The sequence below is a fragment of the Homo sapiens genome, chromosome 12 (genome assembly GCF_000001405.40).
Source record: "Homo sapiens chromosome 12, GRCh38.p14 Primary Assembly".
Classification (NCBI taxonomy): domain Eukaryota; kingdom Metazoa; phylum Chordata; class Mammalia; order Primates; family Hominidae; genus Homo; species Homo sapiens.
In genome coordinates, this window is record NC_000012.12 from 81,396,151 (window position 1) to 81,418,776 (window position 22,626).

The 22,626-nt window shown below is 33.6% G+C and overlaps 1 protein-coding gene and 1 long non-coding RNA gene across 51 annotated transcripts in view; one reads left to right on the forward strand and one right to left on the reverse strand.

Annotated features, from left to right (window-relative positions):
* Positions 1-22,626, reverse strand: part of PPFIA2 (PPFI scaffold protein A2) — a 501,376-nt gene that overhangs the window by 138,176 nt on the left and 340,574 nt on the right. For all 48 annotated transcript variants that reach the window (XM_024449242.2, XM_017020107.3, XM_024449240.2 and 45 more), the window contains one exon: positions 9,637-9,753. In XM_024449242.2, the coding sequence (XP_024305010.1) occupies positions 9,637-9,753 (117 nt within the window). The remainder of the gene's footprint in view (positions 1-9,636; positions 9,754-22,626) is intronic.
* The window catches only part of PPFIA2-AS2 (PPFIA2 antisense RNA 2), a 141,042-nt gene continuing 139,370 nt past the window's right edge, over positions 20,955-22,626 (forward strand). For all 3 annotated transcript variants that reach the window (NR_199032.1, NR_199033.1, NR_199034.1), the window contains exon 1: positions 20,955-21,189. This is a non-coding gene — a long non-coding RNA (PPFIA2 antisense RNA 2). The remainder of the gene's footprint in view (positions 21,190-22,626) is intronic.

The following is a 22,626-nucleotide window of genomic DNA, read 5'->3' on the forward strand; positions in this document are numbered from 1 at the left end:
TTAATCATTAAAACAGTGTGATATTTATTTCTTATTCTTGAACACGTATTTATTAAGTGTTCATCATGTTCTAGGAACTATTCTAGGTACCTGAGCTTCATCAGGAATAAAACAAGGATCCTAACTTTTATGGAGGTTATTATCTAACTGGGCTGGCAGACAATACATTACAGACATTATAAATAAGTAAAGCATATAAACACATGCTGTGCTATAATACATTACTATGTTAGAATATGTTATGACATTTGAACAAAGACTGGATGGAAGTGGGGAAGTTAGCCATGTATCTGGAGGAAAGGCAATTCAGACAAAGGAAAGAGGAAATCAAAAGTCAACAGGAGGCCAGTGTGGCTGGGGTGGATTTGGATGTGAAGTCAGAAGATAAAGACAGTGAGATTTATGTAGAGCCTTGTGTAAGTGGAAAGAAGTTGCAGAGTTTTGAGCAGACGATTGATGTGTTCAGATATATGGTTTAAAACATCACTCTTGTATCAAAATATCACATGCACCATATAAATATGCATAATTAGAATATATCCATAGACATTTTTTTAAAAATGAAAATGAACAGATTACTCTGATTCATGCTGTTTTAAAAATAGACTGGAGATGGCCCATGGGAGAAGCAGAGAGACCTCATAAAAAGTGATTGATTACAATAATTCAGCTGAGAGATGACAGTGGTTCAAAACAGAGTGATCAATGGAAGTGGTAGGATTCTGGATATATTTTGAAGGTAGAGTAAATCAAATTTCTTTATAGTTGGATGGGAGGTGTGAGACATAGGGAGGATGTGAGAGTAATTCCAAATTCTTTAGCTTGAGCAACTGGAAAGGCAAAGTTTTCATCATGTAAACTGGAGATGATGGATCAAATTTTTTAAGGGGGGATATCAAATACGTAAGCTTTTGATATTTTAAATGTGCAAAGTCTTTTAGATATACAAGTGGAGATGTTCGATTGTGGCTGGATATATGCATTTGGTTGTAGGGTCTGAACTAGAGGTAAAGATTCATAAATTATTAGTATATGAATAGGATGAGATTGATTGGAATCATGGAGAGAGTGTAGGTAGAGAACATGTGGAGGGCTGAGCCCTGGGGTGAAGAAAGAAAGAGAAGAAGAGAAGAAACTGGGAGTTGTCATGCCAAGACAGACTTATCATCTGTTCTTCAGAGAGCAGATGCTCCAACATTCAGAAGTCAGAGGGAGGAAAATAGATGGAGATGTAGCCACTGGTAAGTAAGAGGAAAACAATGTAGTTTCCTGTAATGCAAGTGAAGAAGTATATGAAGGAAGAAAACTATTAACTATGTCATATACTGCTGAGACATCAACTATAGCAAGGCCTGAGAATTGGCCTTATATTTAGCACTATAAATTTAGTGATGACTGTAGCAGGAGTGGCTTCTGTGCTATGGTGGGGCAAAACCTTATTGAAATAGGTTTATAAGGGATTTTAAAATGTGGGGCCAAAAGATAATTTTTTTTAAGTTAGGGAAACTTTGTATATTATAAGAATACAGTCGACCAGGGGTGCCCACGTTCCAAGCCATGGACATGTACTGGTCTGTGGCCTGTTTGGGACCAGACTTCTCAGTAGGAGGTAAAGGTGTGAGCAAAGCTTGATCTGTATTTACAACCACTCCCTATCACTTGCATTACCGTCTGAGCTCTACTTTCTGTAAGATCAGCGGCAGCATTAGATTCACAAAGTAGTGTGAACCCTATTGTGAACTGTCCATTCGAGGGATCTAGGTTGTGCACTCCTTATGAGAATCTAATGCCTGACTATCTGTCACTGTCAGACAGGACCATCTAGTTGCAGGAAAACAAGCTCAGAGCTCCCACTGATTCTACATTATGGTGAGTTGTATAATTATTTCATTATATATTTCAATGTAATAATTTAAATAAAGTGCAAAATAAATGTAATGTGCTTGAATCATCCTGAAACCATCCCCAACCACACCCCCAGTTGGTGGAAAAATTGTCTTCCACAAAACTGGTTCCTGTTGCCAAAAACTTTGGGGACCATTGGAGTAGACAAAGAAAAGAAAATGATGGCAAAGGAAAGAGCAGTAAAATTTGCTGGGGAAATATACTTGATTAAATGTTTGCTGAAGACATTACACATGGTGTAACAAAGTTTTCTTTGACTAGGCTTTTTTGAAATTTTTGTAAGCCTCATGCTCAGTCTAATAAACTCTTCCATCCTCTTAGAAACATGGACAGGTTTAAGACTTTGCTTAAAGTAAATAATCTTATATTTTGAAATCTATAAAATCAGGTAGTTTTTATGCTGCCTTTTCCCTCCATAGTTCACATTTATTCTTTACTTACTTGTTACCTGTTTATCTCCAATCCCCCTGTTCATGAGCTACATTACTTTGAGCCATTGATCCTTGCTCTGCAAACCTCACAGGGTTGTTGTTACAGAGATCAAATAAAACAACTCACATAAAGGACTTTATGCTGGTTACTTATCTCATTCTTAAAGACCCGTAGCCGCTTTGTTAATGAGGTTTCCAGACAAGTTTGAAAAACAATTTGGCTAACTTTAAAGGTTAAGCACCAGCATTCCTTAATTCCATATTAAGGCATGTCCTGTTGAATTCTCATTCTGGGATACTCTTATTTCCCTGTGGGTAAAGAGCGTCTCTGGAAACACTACATACTGTGTTTCTTTCTTGACGCTCGACAATACTAAGAGTTAAAATATAAATACTGTAGTACTTACACCAGTTAAAAATTGTACACAACAATATTTCCTAATCTGCTTCTCCTGGGAATTTCATTTGTTGGGTGAGTGGGTCCTATCAAACACCCACTAAATTTCTGGGGAGCTTGTGTTTCATGAGAAATGATGAAATAGATAAATTCTACCAAAGTGAAAAAATACAATTAGATCAACTGAGGAACTTCTGAATGAAAAACTTAAAAATTCTCCTAGCCTTGCTTAACAGATCGCACAAAACAAAACAGAGGAAAAAGAACTTATTCTTGTGTACATCACCAAAAGACAACAGATTCCTTGGCACAAAATGAACCCTCCAATTATGTTAATAAGATAAAGGTAACTGAACAAATTTCCAGTCAGTCAGTCTTTTAAAGTCTTTGGAAATATCCTTCTTCACAAAAAAAAAAAAAAAAAAAAAAAAAAAATTCTGAGTACCTCAAATCCTGGCTAATACAAATGATACTTCTTACTGAAGACAGCAGAGTGGATTTCACTTCATCTTTCCATCTAACAAGGTCTTAGTTAACACACAATAACCCAGTCACTGCACCCAGAGCGATTTGTTTTGAACCTAATGAGTTTCCACACAGCATTAGAAGACTTTTATTTTTGCCATTGCATATAGAAGATTCCAGACCTTTCGTTATGTGCTTCCTCGCCAACTCAGCTTCTAGAAAATTGATACAACTTCATGTATATATGGATAAGCCATGGAAGATCCTAACCTTACTCTTTTGGTCCCTTTTCTAGCCAATCATTGAACCTCTGGGCCAGTCCAGCCCATGTATATCTTTAGACCTGCTCTTTCCAAGTTGGCAAATTCATAAACTCCATTCAGTTTGGTGTTTCACTGCTTGACAATTCAATTGAAGAATAAAGGAGAAACATTCAAGTCGTTATGTTTTGTAAGGAATTAGAATACAATATATGGAATCAATACACAGAAGAAAATATTCTGTGAGTGCAATCCATTTGTAAATAAGCCCAATTATATTTTTGAGAGAGGGAATCAATAATGCATAAAATGAGCTACAGTTGACAAGACTGAATCTTTGAAAGAATGGTTGTTGGCCGTAGTTAACATGTATTGATGAACACAAAAAAATGAACAAAATATAGTCAATATATTGAAGACATGCCTGTGGATGATGACTTTTAGTCAGAACTTAGTGAGAATGATTAAAAGAATGGCATTTGTGATAAATGATGTTTATTAGTATTTTAAAATAGGATGAGATATTGATAAGCCAAACTTTTAACTGGACAGCTGACAGGTTTGCATGAGAGTGTGCAAATCTTCACACTATGATATCTCAATATTTCACAATAGCATGATGGAATGAAATACTTTGTCTCCACTGAGGATCACATTGCTTGTAGAGCTATGTTGGCTTGTTCTAAGTACCTATTTTTGTCATTGGTTGTTCATTCTAAAACAGCATTGTATTGCTAAAAGTCCACAAAACCCTTAATTTTGATAAAGGCACATCCCGTATTCCATTTTTATCACTTTGGCTCAATATTCTTCATGAACAGTAGTTCTATAATAAAAATACTAGACAATTATTTATTAAATTTACCGATCTGAGGATTATTCTTGCCACTGATTCTTCATTTTGCTTTATGTACTTTTTTGTCCATAATTCTTCTATCTGACAAGAACTAAAGAACTGAAAACATGCAAACAAAAATCTATTTCTGATTTTACATTTATTCAGCTTTCACATTTCCATATTACTGTTGCTTAAATTGTTATGTTGCATTTTTAGAGAACAGTCACGAATAAATGTCAGATTCAAAGAGGAGAGAAGAATAAGAGCAACAACTTAAAAAAGGAAGCTTTAACTTAGTTCACTTAGTAATTAAGCTCAAAGTGGGAATGATAAGCAAACAGGCCTGGGAGGCGAGAAGAGGCCAGCCAGCTTGGGAAGAACCTCATGTGACATGCCGAGGATGTGCCTCATTTGTTGTATGGTCATTGAAGGATCAGTCAACTCCACTCTTCGATCTATGAAGAACTAGTGTCTCAGTCACTAATACATGACACGTATAAAAATTCACTGCATATAGTTAAGTGTGACTACTGTTTTGTGAAAGTTTTTCATATTGTTGACTCCTGGTACTTTTTCAGGCATCAGTTCAAATCCCACCATCTTAAAAAGATCCCTTCTTTAATGTCTTCACCACTCACCTTGTACGGGTCCCTTGATCATATCTATGCCCTTTTACACTGTGTATATTTGTTTATTGCCTGTACCCTCAACTGTCTTATCATCATTATATTCCTACCACCTAGAATAGGGCCCATTTCTTAGCACCTTTAATAAGGTTGCCACTAAATATTTATTTGATTGAAAACACAGGATTAATAAATAGAATAAGCATTTATTGCTTCTATACAATATGCCTAAGATGATGTAATTCATTGAATATAGTGTTTCTATTCTTATAACTCTGTAAGTTGGCAAGACTATTTTATCTGAAACTCAGAGTCAGCGGTGTTAAGGGTAAGGTTCATACAGCTGGTAGCTGGCAGAGACAGGAACTTCAAACAAATCGCTATTCCACATTGCCTCTCTGACACCCCTCAATGAGGATTAATTAACCTTGTTTTTAAACTCTAATATTATTTTTGATACCACAATATTTATCATGTTTTATGATATTAATTTGGGCATGTTTATTTCTCACTGTAGATTCTTATCAAATTTATTACAGACTATATCTTCTGAATCTCTAACATATCTAATATTCTACTGATTCACATCAGTTAGCAAATACTTGCAGCTGAAAAAATAATTAGAAGTACAGATTATACAAGTAATGAGCATTATTATAAACTTTACAAGAGTAGCATGTTTACTTTTTAAAATTCACCAATTAACTTCCATCTAGAAAGAAATAGGAAAAAGTTATTAGAGCCTGGTTCTGAAAAGGTGGAATTTAGTGTTATGAAAATTTGTATTATCCTTGAATATTTATATTCTTCTCAATCAGTTAAATTTAAGACCACACAGAAATATTTAAATTCGTTTCAGTTAAGTGTATTTTTTCTTTTTATTTTTTCTTTTAAAAAGGCTGATAATAATTACCAGAGTTTTCCATGAATAATAAGGCCTATTTCAGATTGTGCTTTTGTGAGGCTATTTTTGTCAACTATTTTGTCAACAGAGTTCTCAATCCACCGACACAAAACATCTTCTTTGGGCTAATCACCCACCCTGACTGTGTAACTTAAGCAAATTAACTGCCCTAAACAAAGGGTAATCCTTCCAACTAGGATTTAGAAGTCACTTTCTTAGTTCTATCAGTATCTAATAATAGTTTTACATTTTTGTCCTGATCAACCACTTTTCAATTTACACACTAACACTACAGTCATCGTTGATAATCTGCCAAAATAATAATTTCTTTTCTTTTGTTTGAATATACCTTTTTAAAAGTTCTCAATAAAAAAAAAATAAGTATTAGGCTTTAAATTACAATCCTTTGACAACTTGTTTTATGGCATTAATATACCTTGAATAATCATGTCATGGAGGATGATTTTGATAAGAAAAATGCTCTATAATATTATATGTGTGTAACTTGGGAGTATTTATATAAGGACAATGAAAATAATAATCAGGATACTGTTTTATGTTTTATCAAGAAATGTCAGGTAAAAAAATGTGGTATAGCTGAGCACGGTGGCTCACACCTGTAATTCCAGCACTTTGGGAGGCCGAGGTGGGCAGATTGCTTGAGCTCAGGAGTTCAAGACCAGCCTGGTCAACATGATGAAACTCTGTCTCTACAAAAATTACCAAAATTAGCCAGGCAGGGTGGCTCACGCCAGTAATGTTAGCTACTTGGAACATTGAGATGGGAGGATTGCTTGAGCCCAGGAGAAGGAGGTTGCAGTGAGCCAAGTTCATGCCACTGCACTACAGCCTGGACTGTCTCAAAAATATGTAAATAAAAATAAATTTAAAAATGTGGCATAAATAAAACTTCTTATTACAACACTTTATTGGAACATCCTGAGAAATCAATCACAGGATTAATATAAATTGAAACATGTTTACATATTTTTAAATTTAGACTAAATATATATGATACATTATACACATTTTAGGTTTACACCAAAGGATATGGGCATGATATTATGCATGATAATAATATATAATTATTCTAAAGCATTTAGAAATCACTGTTTTAGAAATTCAAGGAAGCTGAAAAAAGCAAATGAATACCAGTAATCATAATGTTTAAAAACCTTTAGTTACACCAACACAAGAAGTGAATGACTTAGCATTGGCACACAATTTCTTTTCTCCACTGGCTGAAATGCCTTCACTAAGAACTGGAAGTCAAAAAAAGTTAAAGACAATTGCTTTGGGTCACCAATGTCTCAAAATCCTCCATATGTGCACTTATATCTGTGAAGACCAATAGAGACAAATATCAATTATGCATAAATCCTCATCCTAATTCTGTAACCAGTTCCCGAAAAATAATCTGTCATAAACTGTCTTACATTCTCTAATGTCTGCATATTCAAATATTTAGTGGTTATATTGTTAGAGTAGGTAGTTAGGCAACCAATAGGTGATGGTCAGGTGGTTGTTAAACTCTCTCTGTAAAACAATTATTGGTTGCTGCCAGTGCCAGGGAAGACAGACTGTAATAAATAGAAAACATTGAATCTGGTGATCAGCAGTTTCCAGATAAGATCTCAGGAGTTGGGCAAGTGGACTCAAGCATGTGCACTGAGAAGCAAAATGGCAGCATTTAACTGGTATAGGAATAGAACATTCCTCTAGGAACACTCAACTGGTAAGGGAAAAATGCCTCCAGTAAGCATGTATAGGACTTCAGTAAACATGCTGTGCATGCGGCCCCTCCCAAGTGCTGACAGGCCACCGTGCATGCAGACAGCCCACCCCAAAGGAAGAATCAGGGCAGAAGTACCACAACTCCAGAAGCATGCCAGTGTATAAAACCCCAATTCAGAGGTCAAATTGCACACTTGAATCTCTCAAGTTGCCCATTTGGCCCTTTTCCAGCTGTACTTTATCTCCTCTTGTTCCTGCTCTAAAACTTTCCTGCCCTGAAACTTGCCTTGGTCTCTCCCTTTGCCTCATGCCCCACAGTCAATTTCTTTCTTCTGAGAAAACAAGAATTGAGGTTGCTGCAGACCTGTATGGATTTGCTGCTGCTAACAGTACCTTGATGAAAAAATATTTGAAAAAAATATATATGTATGAGCATTCCCTGCCCTCCTCCTCCATAAGAAGAACACTTCAAGTATGAAATAACCTGTTAGGGGATAAAAAAAATCTGAAGTTGTTCATGTCTGAGAAAGGTATATTTCTTCATTTCTGGAGTAGATTAGCATAAATACAGCATTATTATAGAAAACAATAATTTGTAGCCTTTTATGAAAAAGACTAGATGACCATAAAATCCATTTTTTATAACCAGCCAATTGTGATTCTATAATTCTCTGAGGAGAGGTATACTACTAATGACATAATTAAAATGAAAGAGCAATATCAAATTACATGTTGGTTTCCTAAACTGAGTGCTGAGTGAAAATGCCTTATTAAAGAGCTTGGTGGTGTATCTACTGAAGCAGTATCAGTTTATTTAGTTGAAGGAAAGATAAATAATGTTATTCTAATCTCAGATAAAGCTAATGAAATACGTCAAATTGTAGTTTATGTTTTATATTTAGCTTAAGATTTCTATAAAATACATGGATAAAGGCTAAATTCGTGGTCTTATGTGAAGATCTGTTCATTTGTCAGCCACCAGAATTGAAGCTTCTTTCCGGAAATTCATCTGATTTACTTACTTTATTTTGCTTTTCTACTTGAAGGAAGAAACATAAGAAGTCCCTCTATTTTTTCTAACCACATAAGTGAGGAAATGCTAAACTTAATTTATAGTAAGAATTCTAGTGCTATTTATTGTATTGTCCAGTCACTTGCTTCTTAATCGCTAGGTTTTAGAAACTCTTGACATTTTCAATTACAGCAATTTAGCTAGCTGATTCATGTGGTCTTCATTTAGGAGCTTAAGAATCCAAAGATATAACTTGTTACAGGCAAATGATTCTCCTGAGTTTCCAACACAGGATGTGTGAATGCCTCCATGTAATTTTCATCTGATTCTAGACCTACCAATAACTTACCTTCTTCCTCTTCTGTTGGAAAGAGGTGGTCCAGCACAGACACCTTTTGTCTTTTGCTAGTGGAGCAACAGAGCGCTAGTTTCCTTTGTGTGGGACTAAACTTCACCCAAAAGGAGAATCATTCCATTATAAAAAATGTAAAAGTCCCATGACTTCACATTTCATTTTATGTTATCTCTCATTAACAAGAGTACTGCTGAGGCCTCAAACAATGCAAGAAAAATACTAATCAAATAAAAGATTACCAACAATTTTCGCAGTCATAAACAACAAATAAGTTACCAATTGTATATTATATCACTTACAATTCAAAAGTGTTGTTTTGCACTTAAAATAGTCCTGCCTATATATGTACATATATATACATATGCCATATATACACACAATGTGTATATATGTACTTTAAATTATATTCTTTATACATATTATAAATTCAATTCTATATAATTTAAATACTTTTAAGAAAATCAATTAAGAGCAGGTAAAAAATTTGAATATGTGTATATGCATACACACAACATATACACATATGTATTATATTTAAGAGAATCAAAATAAGAACAAATATTAGAAAGGAAATAACCATAAACCTTGAACCTTTGACCAAAGAATCAACAAATACTAAAAAAATGTTCATTATGTGGTTTTTATATTTCCTGTCAAATGATATAAGAAGTAAACATTTCCATGTAAGAGCATGTGGGGTGTGTCATACCTTCTCATGGACTTTCTGTCCAGGTTCCATCCCTTCAAGATGTTCTGACTCTGTGGATCCCTCGCTTGATGCCATTTTTCTTTGTATATGAACATTTTGTTCACGCAAGGCAACAATCTGCAAAATAAAAGCACTATGCCTTTAAAGTCTAAATAGGGAATAAAATATAAAAAGAAAATGAATTTACTTCAATGTGGTTAAGAACTAATGAACACTAACAAATAACCAGAAAGTGAACATTACATTTTACTGAATTATTATTCAAAATATGTGTTTCAATGTAGGTCACCATTTTGAACAATATTTACAAAAATTCATAATATCTCTACTAAGAAGAGGTTAAAGCACTGTAAAATTTACCTAAGAAAATATTTTCTTGTTGGAAATGTATCTAAAATCAATGATATATTTGTATTCACGTGATGTTAATTCAGAAATTATTTTTTAAATTAATTTGTAGGATGTAATAAAAATGTTTTTTTGGTCTGTATTTTTAAAGTATACAAGAAACATAAAAGATTGAAGGTTAAAGACTAATTATGAGCACAGCAATTTCGCCTACACTGATAGCCCATCTGCAATTTAATATAAGCAGACACACAGCTGAACTTAAAAAAAAATTTGTAATGCTGTCATGAGCATGTATTAAATTTGTTTTATTATTATAATTTTAATGTCCATTATTTTACCAAATTTAGTTAATTTGCAAACACAAATTAAGAAAGCAGTTATTCTTGCAAACTTTCAGCTCAATTTTAATGACATAATTATTTCAATTAAAAAACAAATTCTCGGGTACTTATAGCATAAGTGATCCTAGTAATAGAGTGAAAAATAGTATTTCAGTCTTTTTAAAATGATGTTTTAAAATACATTTGCTAAATATATATATATATATCACTTTGAAAATATTTTACATTATATTAATGCTGTAACTTATTTATTCCATGGCATATTTTATTGTATTATCAACTCAGATAGTAGTCAATATTAGTTCTGGGAGAAATAAAGGTACATAGTATTTAGTGCACAATAAGATCTGAATAATATTAAACTTACATGTGGAAATTACAAGACCAACATGTCACAAGACGAATAATCATTAACTGAAAAAAACATGATATCAAGGGGTTGGGTGTTTGCCCTGCTACTTGACACTATTTCAATGCCATATTACCACCATGTGTCCATGACATCAGTTGATCTAGCTATATGATCTCTGGTATTTGAGCATTTGGTATATCCTTCTCTAGGTATATGTTCTTTTCTCTCGTATAACTGTAAACACCAAATAATTGGCTCCCTCACGCTTACTCTTGTTCATCTACAATCTATTATCCACAAAGCAGCCAGGTACATCTTTCAAACTTAAATTAGATTGTGTAACCCTTCAGCTTTCTAACAAAACTAATGTTTGGCCCAGCGCGGCAGCTCACGCCTGTAATCTCGGCACTTTGGGAGGCCAAGGTGGCCAGATCACTTGAGGTCAGGAGTTCATGACCACCCTGGCCAACTGGTGAAACCTGTCTCTACTAAAAATATAAAAATTAGCCGGGCGTGATGGTGGGCGCCTGTAATCCCAGCTACTCAGGAGGCTGAGCCAGGAGAATCCCTTGAACCTGGGAGGCGGAGATTGCAGTGAGCTGAGATTGCGCGACTGCACTCCAGCCTGGGCGACAGAGGGAGACTCTGTCTTAAAATAAAATAAAATAAAATAAAATAAAATAAAATAAAATAAAATACTTTAAAATTTTGTTAAAAAAACCTAAAGTTTTCCCAGCTTATTTAGCCAAAATTTAAACTTCTTAACAAGGTCTATACTGTCCTACTTGAGCCCTTTGCTTCAGCGACACTGGCCTCCTTTCCATCCCTCAAACATATCTGTCTCTTTCTTACACAGAACTGAGGAATTTGATGATCTTCCTGTCTAAAACATTCTTCCTCAGCTATCACAGGGGACACAATCCCAGCTTTAAAAACAGTTGAGATACAACTCCTCAGAGTGAATGTGTGTTGTCATCAAACACTTTGTACAATATATCCCTATTTATTTTTGTGCATGTAGCACTCAATAAAGTTTATTATTCCATTTCTCCACTTCCTCATTTGCTTATTTATTTAGCTAGCACAAGTCCTAATAATATCTCCTGAGAAAATAATTTTCAAAAGAATGCTTCATTGAAAACAGCATTTTCATATGAAGTAGCACATCAAATTATTATGTGCAGGGTATTCACTAAAAATGTGTTGAATTAAATAATACATGGATATGGGAAAACAAAGAATCTAAACCTGATTAATTCAAAAAATAACAAAAGATAAAGATTTGGAGTGTAAAAAAAACTTCAGAAACATTCTTTTCACATTAGTCAACATGGAAATAGATTACATCAAAGGAATGACAAGAAGAATAAAATAGCTCCTAGATATATCATTTTTATATTACACTCTTAACTTATTGCTTTTTGCATAAATATTACAATTGATACATGAGATTTTATGAATTATAAATTTTAAAATATTCAAGTATCATTTGTTGACATTCCACTAAGAAAACATCTATGACTAACAGAAATGCTAATACAAAGTACCAGGCCATTTAAAAATTATATGCTTTGTTCTATTATTAATCTACTCAGAAGTGAAGGGAGACATTTAAAAAATATTTAAAGAACAAATTTAACTCTCAGCTTACAGATTAGCTTACATTTGTTTAATAAACAGATGACTTTCAAATATGTCCTGGTGCCTGAAATAAAGCAGGCCATCTATAAAAGTTTATTGAATGAATCAGTGAAAAGATGAATTAATGTCCCTATTAAAAAATAATCAAAAAATCAAATTCATTCAGAAAAAAGTACAAATATAATTGAGCCACTATGATTTTTAAAATTCTAAACTTCAAGTTTGCTACAGTGTATACATGACAATTAGTTCCAAAAATGACATAATTTTCAACCACTAACATGCAAACTTTGTTTTGTAAAAATGAATCAAGGCTAAAAATGTTGGCTCTTGATACAGAAGAACAAATGTGACATATTCTATATTCTCTACCACTGTAATATGCTATTTTCTCCAATAACAAATTATCCTGGGTAGTTATGAAACCAAAGTTTCAGCACCTGATTTAATTGTGGGTGTTAATAAGTGGATTATTTTTGACACTGGGGAAAGGGGGAAAGTTTGTAGTTCTCTTTTAAAAATTCCCCTTTGGGTGTTAAGCATTTTCTTCAATCTGTTTTAAAGAGTGAAGAGGTCACCAATAAATAACTGGAGCCTAAGGTAGCACAGACTTCTTTAGGAAATTCTCTTAGCTGGTTTGAGAAGTGAACACAAGAGATGGCTAGGGAACCAGCTTGGGACAATAAATAGAATGAAAAGAAGCTAATGGCCTCAAAATATTCCCTAGGCTCTCACTGAGAGGGAATGTTGTCAGAAGGAGGGCCCAAGCAAATTGCCTACAAGAAAACTAACGTAGGTCTGGATGCCTCACCACTAAACAACATGGCCTACTTGCTATGGTTTAAATGTTCCCTCCAAAACTTATGTTGAAATGTAATTGCCTTTGTAATGGTATTAAGAGGTGGGACCTTTAACAGGTTTTTACGGCATGAGGGCTTTGCTCTCATAAATGGATTAAGGCTGTTATCTCTGGAGTGGGTTATTTATCATTGGAGTGGGTTCTGGATAAAAGGATGGAGTTTGCCCCTCATCCTCTCTCTGTATCATCTCACATGCTTTTATGCCCTTCCATCCCTCTACTATGGGATAAGGCATCATAAAAACTCATGCCAGATGCCAGTGTCATGCCTTGGACTTCCCAGCCTCCAGAACTTTCAGAAATAAATTTATTTTCTTTAAAAATCATCCAGTCTGTGATATTCTGTTATAGCAACACAAAACAGACTAAGACACTACTCCAAATATGATTACATGTTGAGTAGGAGGAACCACTTATGTACAAGTCCTGTTGTTTACCCAGTTCTTATATAACTGTACTGAAAAACTCACTATGTACAAGTACTGTGCTAAACTATTTTTATCTGCTAAGGGGGTATGATTCATATTTAACAAATGATCAGATTAAGATAAAGAAAGATTAATGGGGACAACTGCTATGGTTTGAATATATGCCCTCCTCCAACCCCCAACATTTGTATGTTGAAACCTAGGGCTCAATGTGATAGTTTTGAGAGGTAAGGTCTTTAGGAGACGATAAATGGAATTAGTACCAATATAAAAGGCCTCAAGGGTACTAGCTAATTAAGCCTTTTGCCAGCCACCTTCTGCCATGTGAGGACGCATTGTTCAGGGTGCCATAATGGAAGTAGAAGGCAGTCCTTCCAAATCTGCTGATGCCTTGATGTTGGACTTTCCTGTCTCCACAACTGTGATACATATACTTCTATTGTTTATAAATTATGCAGTCTCAGACATTTTGTCACAGCAGCACAAATGGACTAAGAAGTAAGAGTCAAATAAAACTTAACTCCGTATCCTTATACTTCCTAATTTGTAACATTGGCTCAAATGGCTCCCCTTTTAAATTTGGGGTCTACTAAATCAGAAGTTAATAGCGGGCTGGGATAGGAAGCATAATCATTTTATTTCCAAGGGCTGATACCCTTGCTGGAATCCTTTGTATGTCATTAAGATTGGACGTCTCCCTGGACAGATTCATATGGAGGCAAAGTTTTGCATATATTTTCAGTGAGTTAGCAACCCACTGAAGGCTCATGGAACTCTGTTCAAGATAAATATTTCACAACTGTTTTTAATGTTCAATCATCATTTATCAAGTGTCTGTTGACATTTGCTTTCAGGTATCCCTTCACATTTCTTTGATAATAACATCTTATATTTTCACTGGAGACTTTTCCTTTCTTATTCTAATCCCACAGAGACTGTCAATGAAGGAACCAAGAGCCCATGGCAAATGGGTGGGCACATGACCCAAGCCAGGGAAATCAGAATATTATTACTTTACATGTTTCTGGCTGAGCTATGGGAAACGATTCTCTCTATCTACTAAGGAAGGTAAGCTGGTAGAATATGAAAGGGGTACTCTTTGCCATTAATTCCTATTCATGCAGAAAACACATGGAAGAGATGAGGCCCTAACAAATTGCTTCTGGTCCTGATTCTAGGCATCCTTAAATCATTCCTACCCTTGGCATTTTAGTAATATGATCCAAGCCCCAAATTTCCCCTTTTGTGCCCCAACTCATTTGAAATGGTTTTCTGTCACTTGCAACTAAAAGTGACTTGCAAATGCAGCAGGAAACATGGAAGACAATACAGAGTATGCAATACCTAAGTGAGGATTTTGGAGAATGGCTAAGAATTTACCAGACAGACATGGTAGAAGACTTTTTTAGGTGTGTAGAAGATCACAGGCATTTTGTGTTTCTACAACTTTGTGTTCCTCGCACTGTAAGTTGTTTAATATTCCTGTGGCAAAAAGTACCTGGAAAAAGTTGGAGGAATGATGGGACTAGCAAAGCTAAAGTGCTTCAACTAAATCTCAGGCATCTGTGTGCTTTTTCTCTCTGGCTTATTGCTTTGTCTTGATCCTTATTTGTGTTTTCTGGTTGCTCATAAGCTTATAACAGCCTGATCCATTCCTTCTAGGCACTCTCAAACACGTTATATTTTCAAGCCAATCTTCTAGGTTTCATTCATATCCTTGCCTCTGTCAGGTTGATTTTGGCTCTGACAAGCTCTGACCCTACACAATAGACAACTGGTAGTCTTGGCGGCTGGGCCTCCAGTCTGCAAAATTCTTTAGCCTTCATTTTTCTTTTCTACCAGCTTGAACACTACTATGTCTTGCAACAGACTCTCTTCTAGCTCCTTGCCTGTGAACAACTGTTTTTCTTTGATATCCTGGAGAGATTCATTTATCTCAAAAATATTCATTCAGCACTGATGACATACCAGGCGTTAGGGAAACACAATGGGAGGAAAAGGCAGAAATCCTTCCTAATGGAAATTGTACTCTCATTGGGGAAAATAAGTTATAAACAAACATAAGTAGAGCATATTTTTAAATGGTGTTAACAGAAAAGAGAAAATCAAACCAAGTGAGGAATGCTGTGAGGTATAATTTGATTACAAATTAGGTGATTTCTGAGTATGGGCTTGAGGACAAGAGGGAACAGCAATGTGGATATCTGGGAGAATAACTTTCTAGAAAATGTAAATAACTATTGAAAACAAATATTGAGATTTATAACAATATTTCAGGGAGTTCTTTCAATGATGTAAAATGTCCTCCCTAAAAGAGAGGTAAAACATCAGTGCAAGTTGATGCCTTGGAGACTTAAGGAAACATATTATCATGAAAAAAATGATTTGGGCAAAAATAACAAAGACCATTAAATATCTTTTTATGCTAAAATTTTAGGATTTCTTGAGGGTTTAATAAATATTAATACATTTATTCAACAAATATTCATTTGATCACTGTTCTAAGTATCACAAAATACTGGGAAAAATGCAGACAGTTTCCTTCTCTTGTGTAGATTACATTCTAGTTAAGGAGGCAAAAAAAAAAAAAAAAAAAGGAAGCAGTAGGACTACAATAACAAAATAGCAATTATTTATTTAGCTCTTATAATGTGCCAGAAACTGTGCTAAGTACATTATATAAATTTGCTTCTTTTCATAAACTTTGCATCTACATTATCTTTTCTTTCCAGGTTTGAGATTTCTTGGTAAAAGACCCTGAGACTATTATATTTAATGGCAACAACCACAATTGCTTTTGCACCAACCTAATAATAATCAGGTACAAGTAGTTTGAAAGGTGATTCCTGGAAGTGAAACATTCCTTAAATATGCTTGAAAGGCTGAGGATGAATCCTGGCCCATGTAGTTGTTGCTGGTTGTACGATCTTGTACAAGCTATTTAACCTCAAGTTCAGGTTCTTGTTATATCAAATGGAGGGCAAATAATATCTACTTTATATTGTATTTGTTTGTAAAATACTTAGTCAAATTTGATGTACATTAAACACTTGCTATGTAATGACAATGACAATAATGAATTGACTTCCACTTGCCTCTTCAATTTTATCTTTCTATTCATATTGCGTGCTCTAGCTTACTGAAAGGCTTCGATCACACATATAAAAAGTGCCGTCTTGGCTGTGAGTTTTTATATTCACCTGGGTAACCTTTGTTCCTCTTTAACTGCCTCTTAGTCACTTAGCTTTTAAGTCTTTCAGATGAATTCGGGGACAATATCTTCCCAAGGAGTTACAGAATGCCTTAGTAATCTCCAGTAACTCATGTCATGCAAGTGATTATCACAACTGGATGTTAGTTTTCTCACCAACCATTTTGACACAGTGCCTTGAGACTAGAAACTGTTTCTGATTCATTACTTATTCTCAGTTCTTAGGACACTGACTGACAAACAGGAGGCACTCTAGAAATATTTGTAGAATGTCAAAAAAAATGATGACAGGCTACATGAATGAAAAAAAAGCATATGAGGAGTTGGAAAAATTGGACAGAAATGTTCACAGGATGTATACATGGAGAAGAAAATTAGTTATCCATATAGAGGAATATAAGAACTTGAAGGTCTTTCAAATGTTCATATTATAGGCTTCAAGGTTAAAAAGGATTCTGGGTAGAGCTCACTGGGGAAATAAAGAAATAAAAGAATGGGAAATACTGCAATGGCTTTGTAGGAAAGTCACTGCTCTAGCGTGAGGAGGCAGATAAAGTAGAAGGCATAAGCAACTGTAAAGGAGGCTAGCAGCAGGATCATGGAAGGACAGTTTAATGAAAGTCATCAAGAGTTGTTTTGTAAACTCAAAGTAATAGGCAATTTCATTGCATCTTAAAATATAACATTAAAATGTATTCTCAAGTATACTGCAGCTTAGGTAATATGATTCACATGCATTGAAGCACATTGTGTATTTGCTTTAGATTTAGAATGAATCGTTGTTTGTGGACAGAAAAATGGAATTCTAAGAGTGTCTAAGAAACTAATTTCTGCCAATAGAATTTTCCAATAAAAAAGGAAAAGCAATGTAAATTGATTTAGTATTCACTTCATTTTCCTTTGTCTTTCTGAAATATTAATATACATGAAGAAATGGGAGTTGAGAAATTAAATTTCTAATTAAGAACTTCTAGCTGTAATAATAGCTATGTCTTGAACATTTATTACATGCCCCATATGAAATAAAACAATTTACATACATTACCTCATTTAATCTTTCCAGTAACCTTGTAAATTTGGTATTTTTATTTTCATTTTACAAATGAGGCAACTAACACAGAGGAAATATGTAATATACTTGAAGTCATACAGAAAAAGACACAACAGAGATATTTCTGATTCAGGTCTGATTCCTTCAAAACATTTTAAAAATATTATGCTGTAATGCCTTTTGGTAATCAGTGAAATGATTCATTGCATACACAATTTAAATATTTATCAAGGTCAGGACTACAAGTTTGTGGTCTGATTGCAGGGGGCTTTTCCTGACCTGCGTTGGCAAACAATTTAGAAGATGTCTTCAAAAACATTTAAAAGGTGTCTTCATATATTCCCCAAAATAAAAAAAGTCATGGTTTTTACCTTACTGATTATTTTCATTTATAACTCGTATACAGCATAAGCACTTAAACTTACCCTGAAAAAAAATTAACTACTTTTTAAAATAAACTACATCTACATAAAATCTTTCATGCTATTTCTACAGGGATTTTCATTCTCATGTTTTTAAATTAATATTTGTCTCTACTTATTTAACAACTTCCAGATAGTGCCCACATCTAATTAACAAAGATTCTTTTCATCTATTTTTATCCCAAATTCAATTAACAATTCCCAGGGTGACACTTATTGAAGTCTCACTACACCAACACATAATTTGCTTCTACACAGATACTTATTCTACTTCTAGCTGAATTCCATGCTTAGATTATAATGAAGTTGAAACACACACACAAACAACAAGAAAAAACTAGTAAAACAGTAGGGATTTACAATTTAAACTTAAGCAACTTTCAGTCACAATAGTTTGCATTTGTATCGCTATTTATTAATTGGGAAACCATAAAGGTTGAAACACTTATTTAAATAGAATTAAGAAACCCAAGCCAGTAACTATTTCCTTTTCTAGCTCTGCATTTGGAAATAAGATTTATAAGCATCACTGAAGCACGTTAAAACCAATGGAGAGCAACTTCATGTAGTCTGTGCAGTTTGATCAGCTTACATGTAACATTCAATTTAAATGGCTTTCATTAACCATGGGCAGATTTTGAAAGCTTGTGACACCAAACTGTTCCAGTGAATAATCAAATTGCTTTGAGGTAAGAATGAGAGGTTTGCATTGTGAGAATTTATCTTGGTTCAGGTAAAAAAAAAAAAAAAAAAAAAAAAAAAAAAAAAATATATATATATATATATATATATATATATATATATATATATATATATGTTTGTAAGAATTTTTACTACATAAAATACTTCCACTCAGTCAACTAATATTTATTGGATGAATAAGAATATTCTACATTTATTTATTTTAAACTTCCCACCCCAAATTTGGCTGACTAGTACTCCCAATTCCTATACAGATAAATTACCTAAGTGCTAAAATTTAAATGCACATTACCAGTAAGTTTCTGGTGACCTTTTAATTGAAAATACATCATATAAAAAGTACATAAATTTGGCTATTTCCAAATTTTACATCTAAACTAGTCTTTCTTGTATCTAAATACACATGGAATTCAAACTCAGTTAGTTTATAATGATTAAAAAATCCTCTTTAAATTAATATTTAAAGGGTTTTTTAAAAAAGAAATCTTCCTAAAACAGTAACTGGAATGCAAAACTGTTATTTTTAGTTTTAAGTTTAAAACAGAATGATTCCAATAGCAAAAAAAAAAAAATCAAATATATTCTCAGGTAGAAAGTTTTGCTTTTTTGCAGGAGATGTTTACACTATCCATTTAACTTAGAATTATAATATTCAACAATAGTAATTTTGACAATAGCTATACTTTGTCATTGTTATTAACATGTAATTCTAATGAAAATTACAACTTTGTACTAACATCTCTCTTCTTTTTGTCTAATCAGTATTTCAGTCAATACATTTTCTGATGCTTGATAATGCATCATTTATTTTAACCATCTATGTAGTTCCCTAATAATTAAAATGACAATAAAATAAAATACTAGCATCTTCATTAGAGGCATGTAAAAGGCTACAGAATATACAAAACAATTTATATTGGTCAGAAGAATTAGTGGACATTGTTAAGGCAAGACTGTTATTTTACTAGGTTAGCAACTAAGAGTGGCATAATATGGAAGAATAGTAAGAAAAATAGCCAAGGAAGCTGTTAATACAGGAAAGTGAAAGAATTAATCCAGAGAATGAAAGCAAACACCAATTTCTAAACAGTTTTTCAAAAGTGTTAGTGGTAGGAAAACACATTCTTAACCACTTGTATGTATCACTGCATGAAAGCAAGACTCAATTTAGAATATATATAAGCAGATAAATAAGGAAGGGTAGAGAGTATTCATTAAGGTAAACAGTACTGAGAAGTGCCCTACCAAAGATAAAGAAACTGCAATAATTCAGTGTTGAGTGCTGACAGTATTGGCAGTAATTGCGTTAAAAGTTTTGAATTTCATAAAGAAAATATGGTAAAATCTCCATCACCAAGGAAGATGCTATTGCTAATAACTTCTCACCTCCTTGAACAAGACAGAAAAATCCTATTCAAAAAGGGAAATAGGTGTCTCACAGTGAAAACAGCAAACAGAACTTACTGAAGGTATTGATTATTATAAAGTACTTCTTTGTACAGAATGGAGGCTATCTTGATTCATACTGGTTCCTCACAATCACTCCCACAGGGCTCTTTGCCCTCTAAAGTCAGAGGTATCAAAATCTGCTAACTTGGTTTAGTTTCAGCTAAGGGCATAAATGACAACTGACTGCAGTAATTAATTATCTCCCCAACTACAATAAAAAGGAAAAGCAAAATTAAAGATACTGAGTTAGGCTGAGAAGAGAGTGAATGCAAACTAAATAATCCAATGTGTGTGTACGTGATCATTTTATAAAGCAGGAAACATGCTCTGTGAATGAGAGCATTTGTTTTCAAAAGTCTCAATAAATATTTATTTTTAAATAAAATGAAATGTTAATATATGACTAAAAGTTTATATTTCATTTACTTTATGTATGCTAAGAAGTATAAAAATACTTTGAGCAAACACTGTTAATAGTATTAAATTTAAAAAGATAAATCTGCCCTATTCTAATCATGTCTTTGTCTTCTGTTTATTCAAGTGTATTCCATTTGCTTTCGGGAATATTTGGATGTTTTAGAACTAACATTCTGCTTTAATAATCCAAACACACTATAATTCCATCAATTTGAGTCTCTTAAAATGTTACACTGAAATGAATCTCTCTGAAGATGGACTTATTGATTTCTATATTCTTCCTCTAGCATCATGAAATTTGACCTCTTCAGCCGTGCATGGTTAACACTGTAAGTATACATGTGTTTTTTTGTTTTTTCTCCAATCATGGCAAATGTGTCGAAATTATAGGCTGTGTCCTAGATCTATTATTTTAGTTCTATTATGGCAAAGAAGAGAGTTTTAGGGAAAAGCGTTTCAAAGTGTTTGAAAAGTGCTTGAAAAAAATATAGAAAGCAGAAACAATATTCATTAATCAATCTTGCATATAACAAAGCAAGCTAGGGCAATAAAAAGGATTTATTCATTTAGTTCCTTTCTTAGAAATAACAAAAGCATACTAAACCCATTGTTCTGGCCAATTCCTTTTAAAGTAATCCATTTACTTCAGTTCTAATGGTAATTATCATGTTACATTTATCTGTACCCATTTCCATTTTATTTTTATGTGATTTTTAAATGTGCACATATCAAAATAATGTCAGTATGAGAAGGAAGCAGAACTTAAGTGGTCTTTACACCCTTACTATTATGAATAAAGAAAATGAGATTTACAGAGAATAGTGATAATTCTATTTGTCTCCAACAAATTGCCATCTAGTCAGTCTCACTGTAGACAGGACACTCTGCCTCCCTAAATCTCAGTTCAATTACCTTTAAAGGAGATGGATAGTATCATATCTAAAAAGACCACAATGACATTACCAAAATCAATAATAAGCATAATATTTACTGAAAGACTCTTTATGCCAACCACAGTTTTACGTTGTTTGAATGTATTAATTAATTTAAAACTCACAACATCATTATAAGTTATTATTATGGTTCAGCCAATTAAGGTAAAAAGAAAAAGGAAATTGCCTATGGTTACAAAGCTAGTGAATAGCAGAATGACTTAGGGAGAAAGTAAGTTTCACTTGGTGGGCGTTATAGCTCCTCTTTGGAGTAGGTTTGTCTCTTTCCTTAGCCTTCTATTTCCAGAGTAGAATATATTTACTGGAACCAAGTAAATACTCTATTTAGAATAAAGGTTTTTTTATTTACCACTTTTCCTTACTTGCCAACGCTAATTTCTAACTACTCAAAGCTATCCACTTTCCATAAAATATTTCATACTTTTATTGCTCCTTATTTCTGTTTTTGTCAGACCTGCAAGCTAAAAATTGTTTTGACATTTTTGAATAGTTGAAAAACATTAAAAGAGAATAATATTGTGTAAATTATAAGAAATTCACTTTCAGTGTCCATGAATAAATTTTAATTGGAAAATGGCCAAACTCATTTGTTTACACATTGTCTATGATTGTTTTCACTCCACAATGGTAGAGAAGTTGTGACAGAGACCATCTGGCTCATAAAGCCAAAAATATTTACTAGTTGGACTTTTACCGAAGTTTGCTGATACCTGGTCTAGTGGTTCTTGTCTATCTCTTTAAGGAAAAAAAAACTGTTCAAATGGATACAGTTAAAGTCAGAACTATAACTAAAATTCCTGAGTTTTAGGTTTA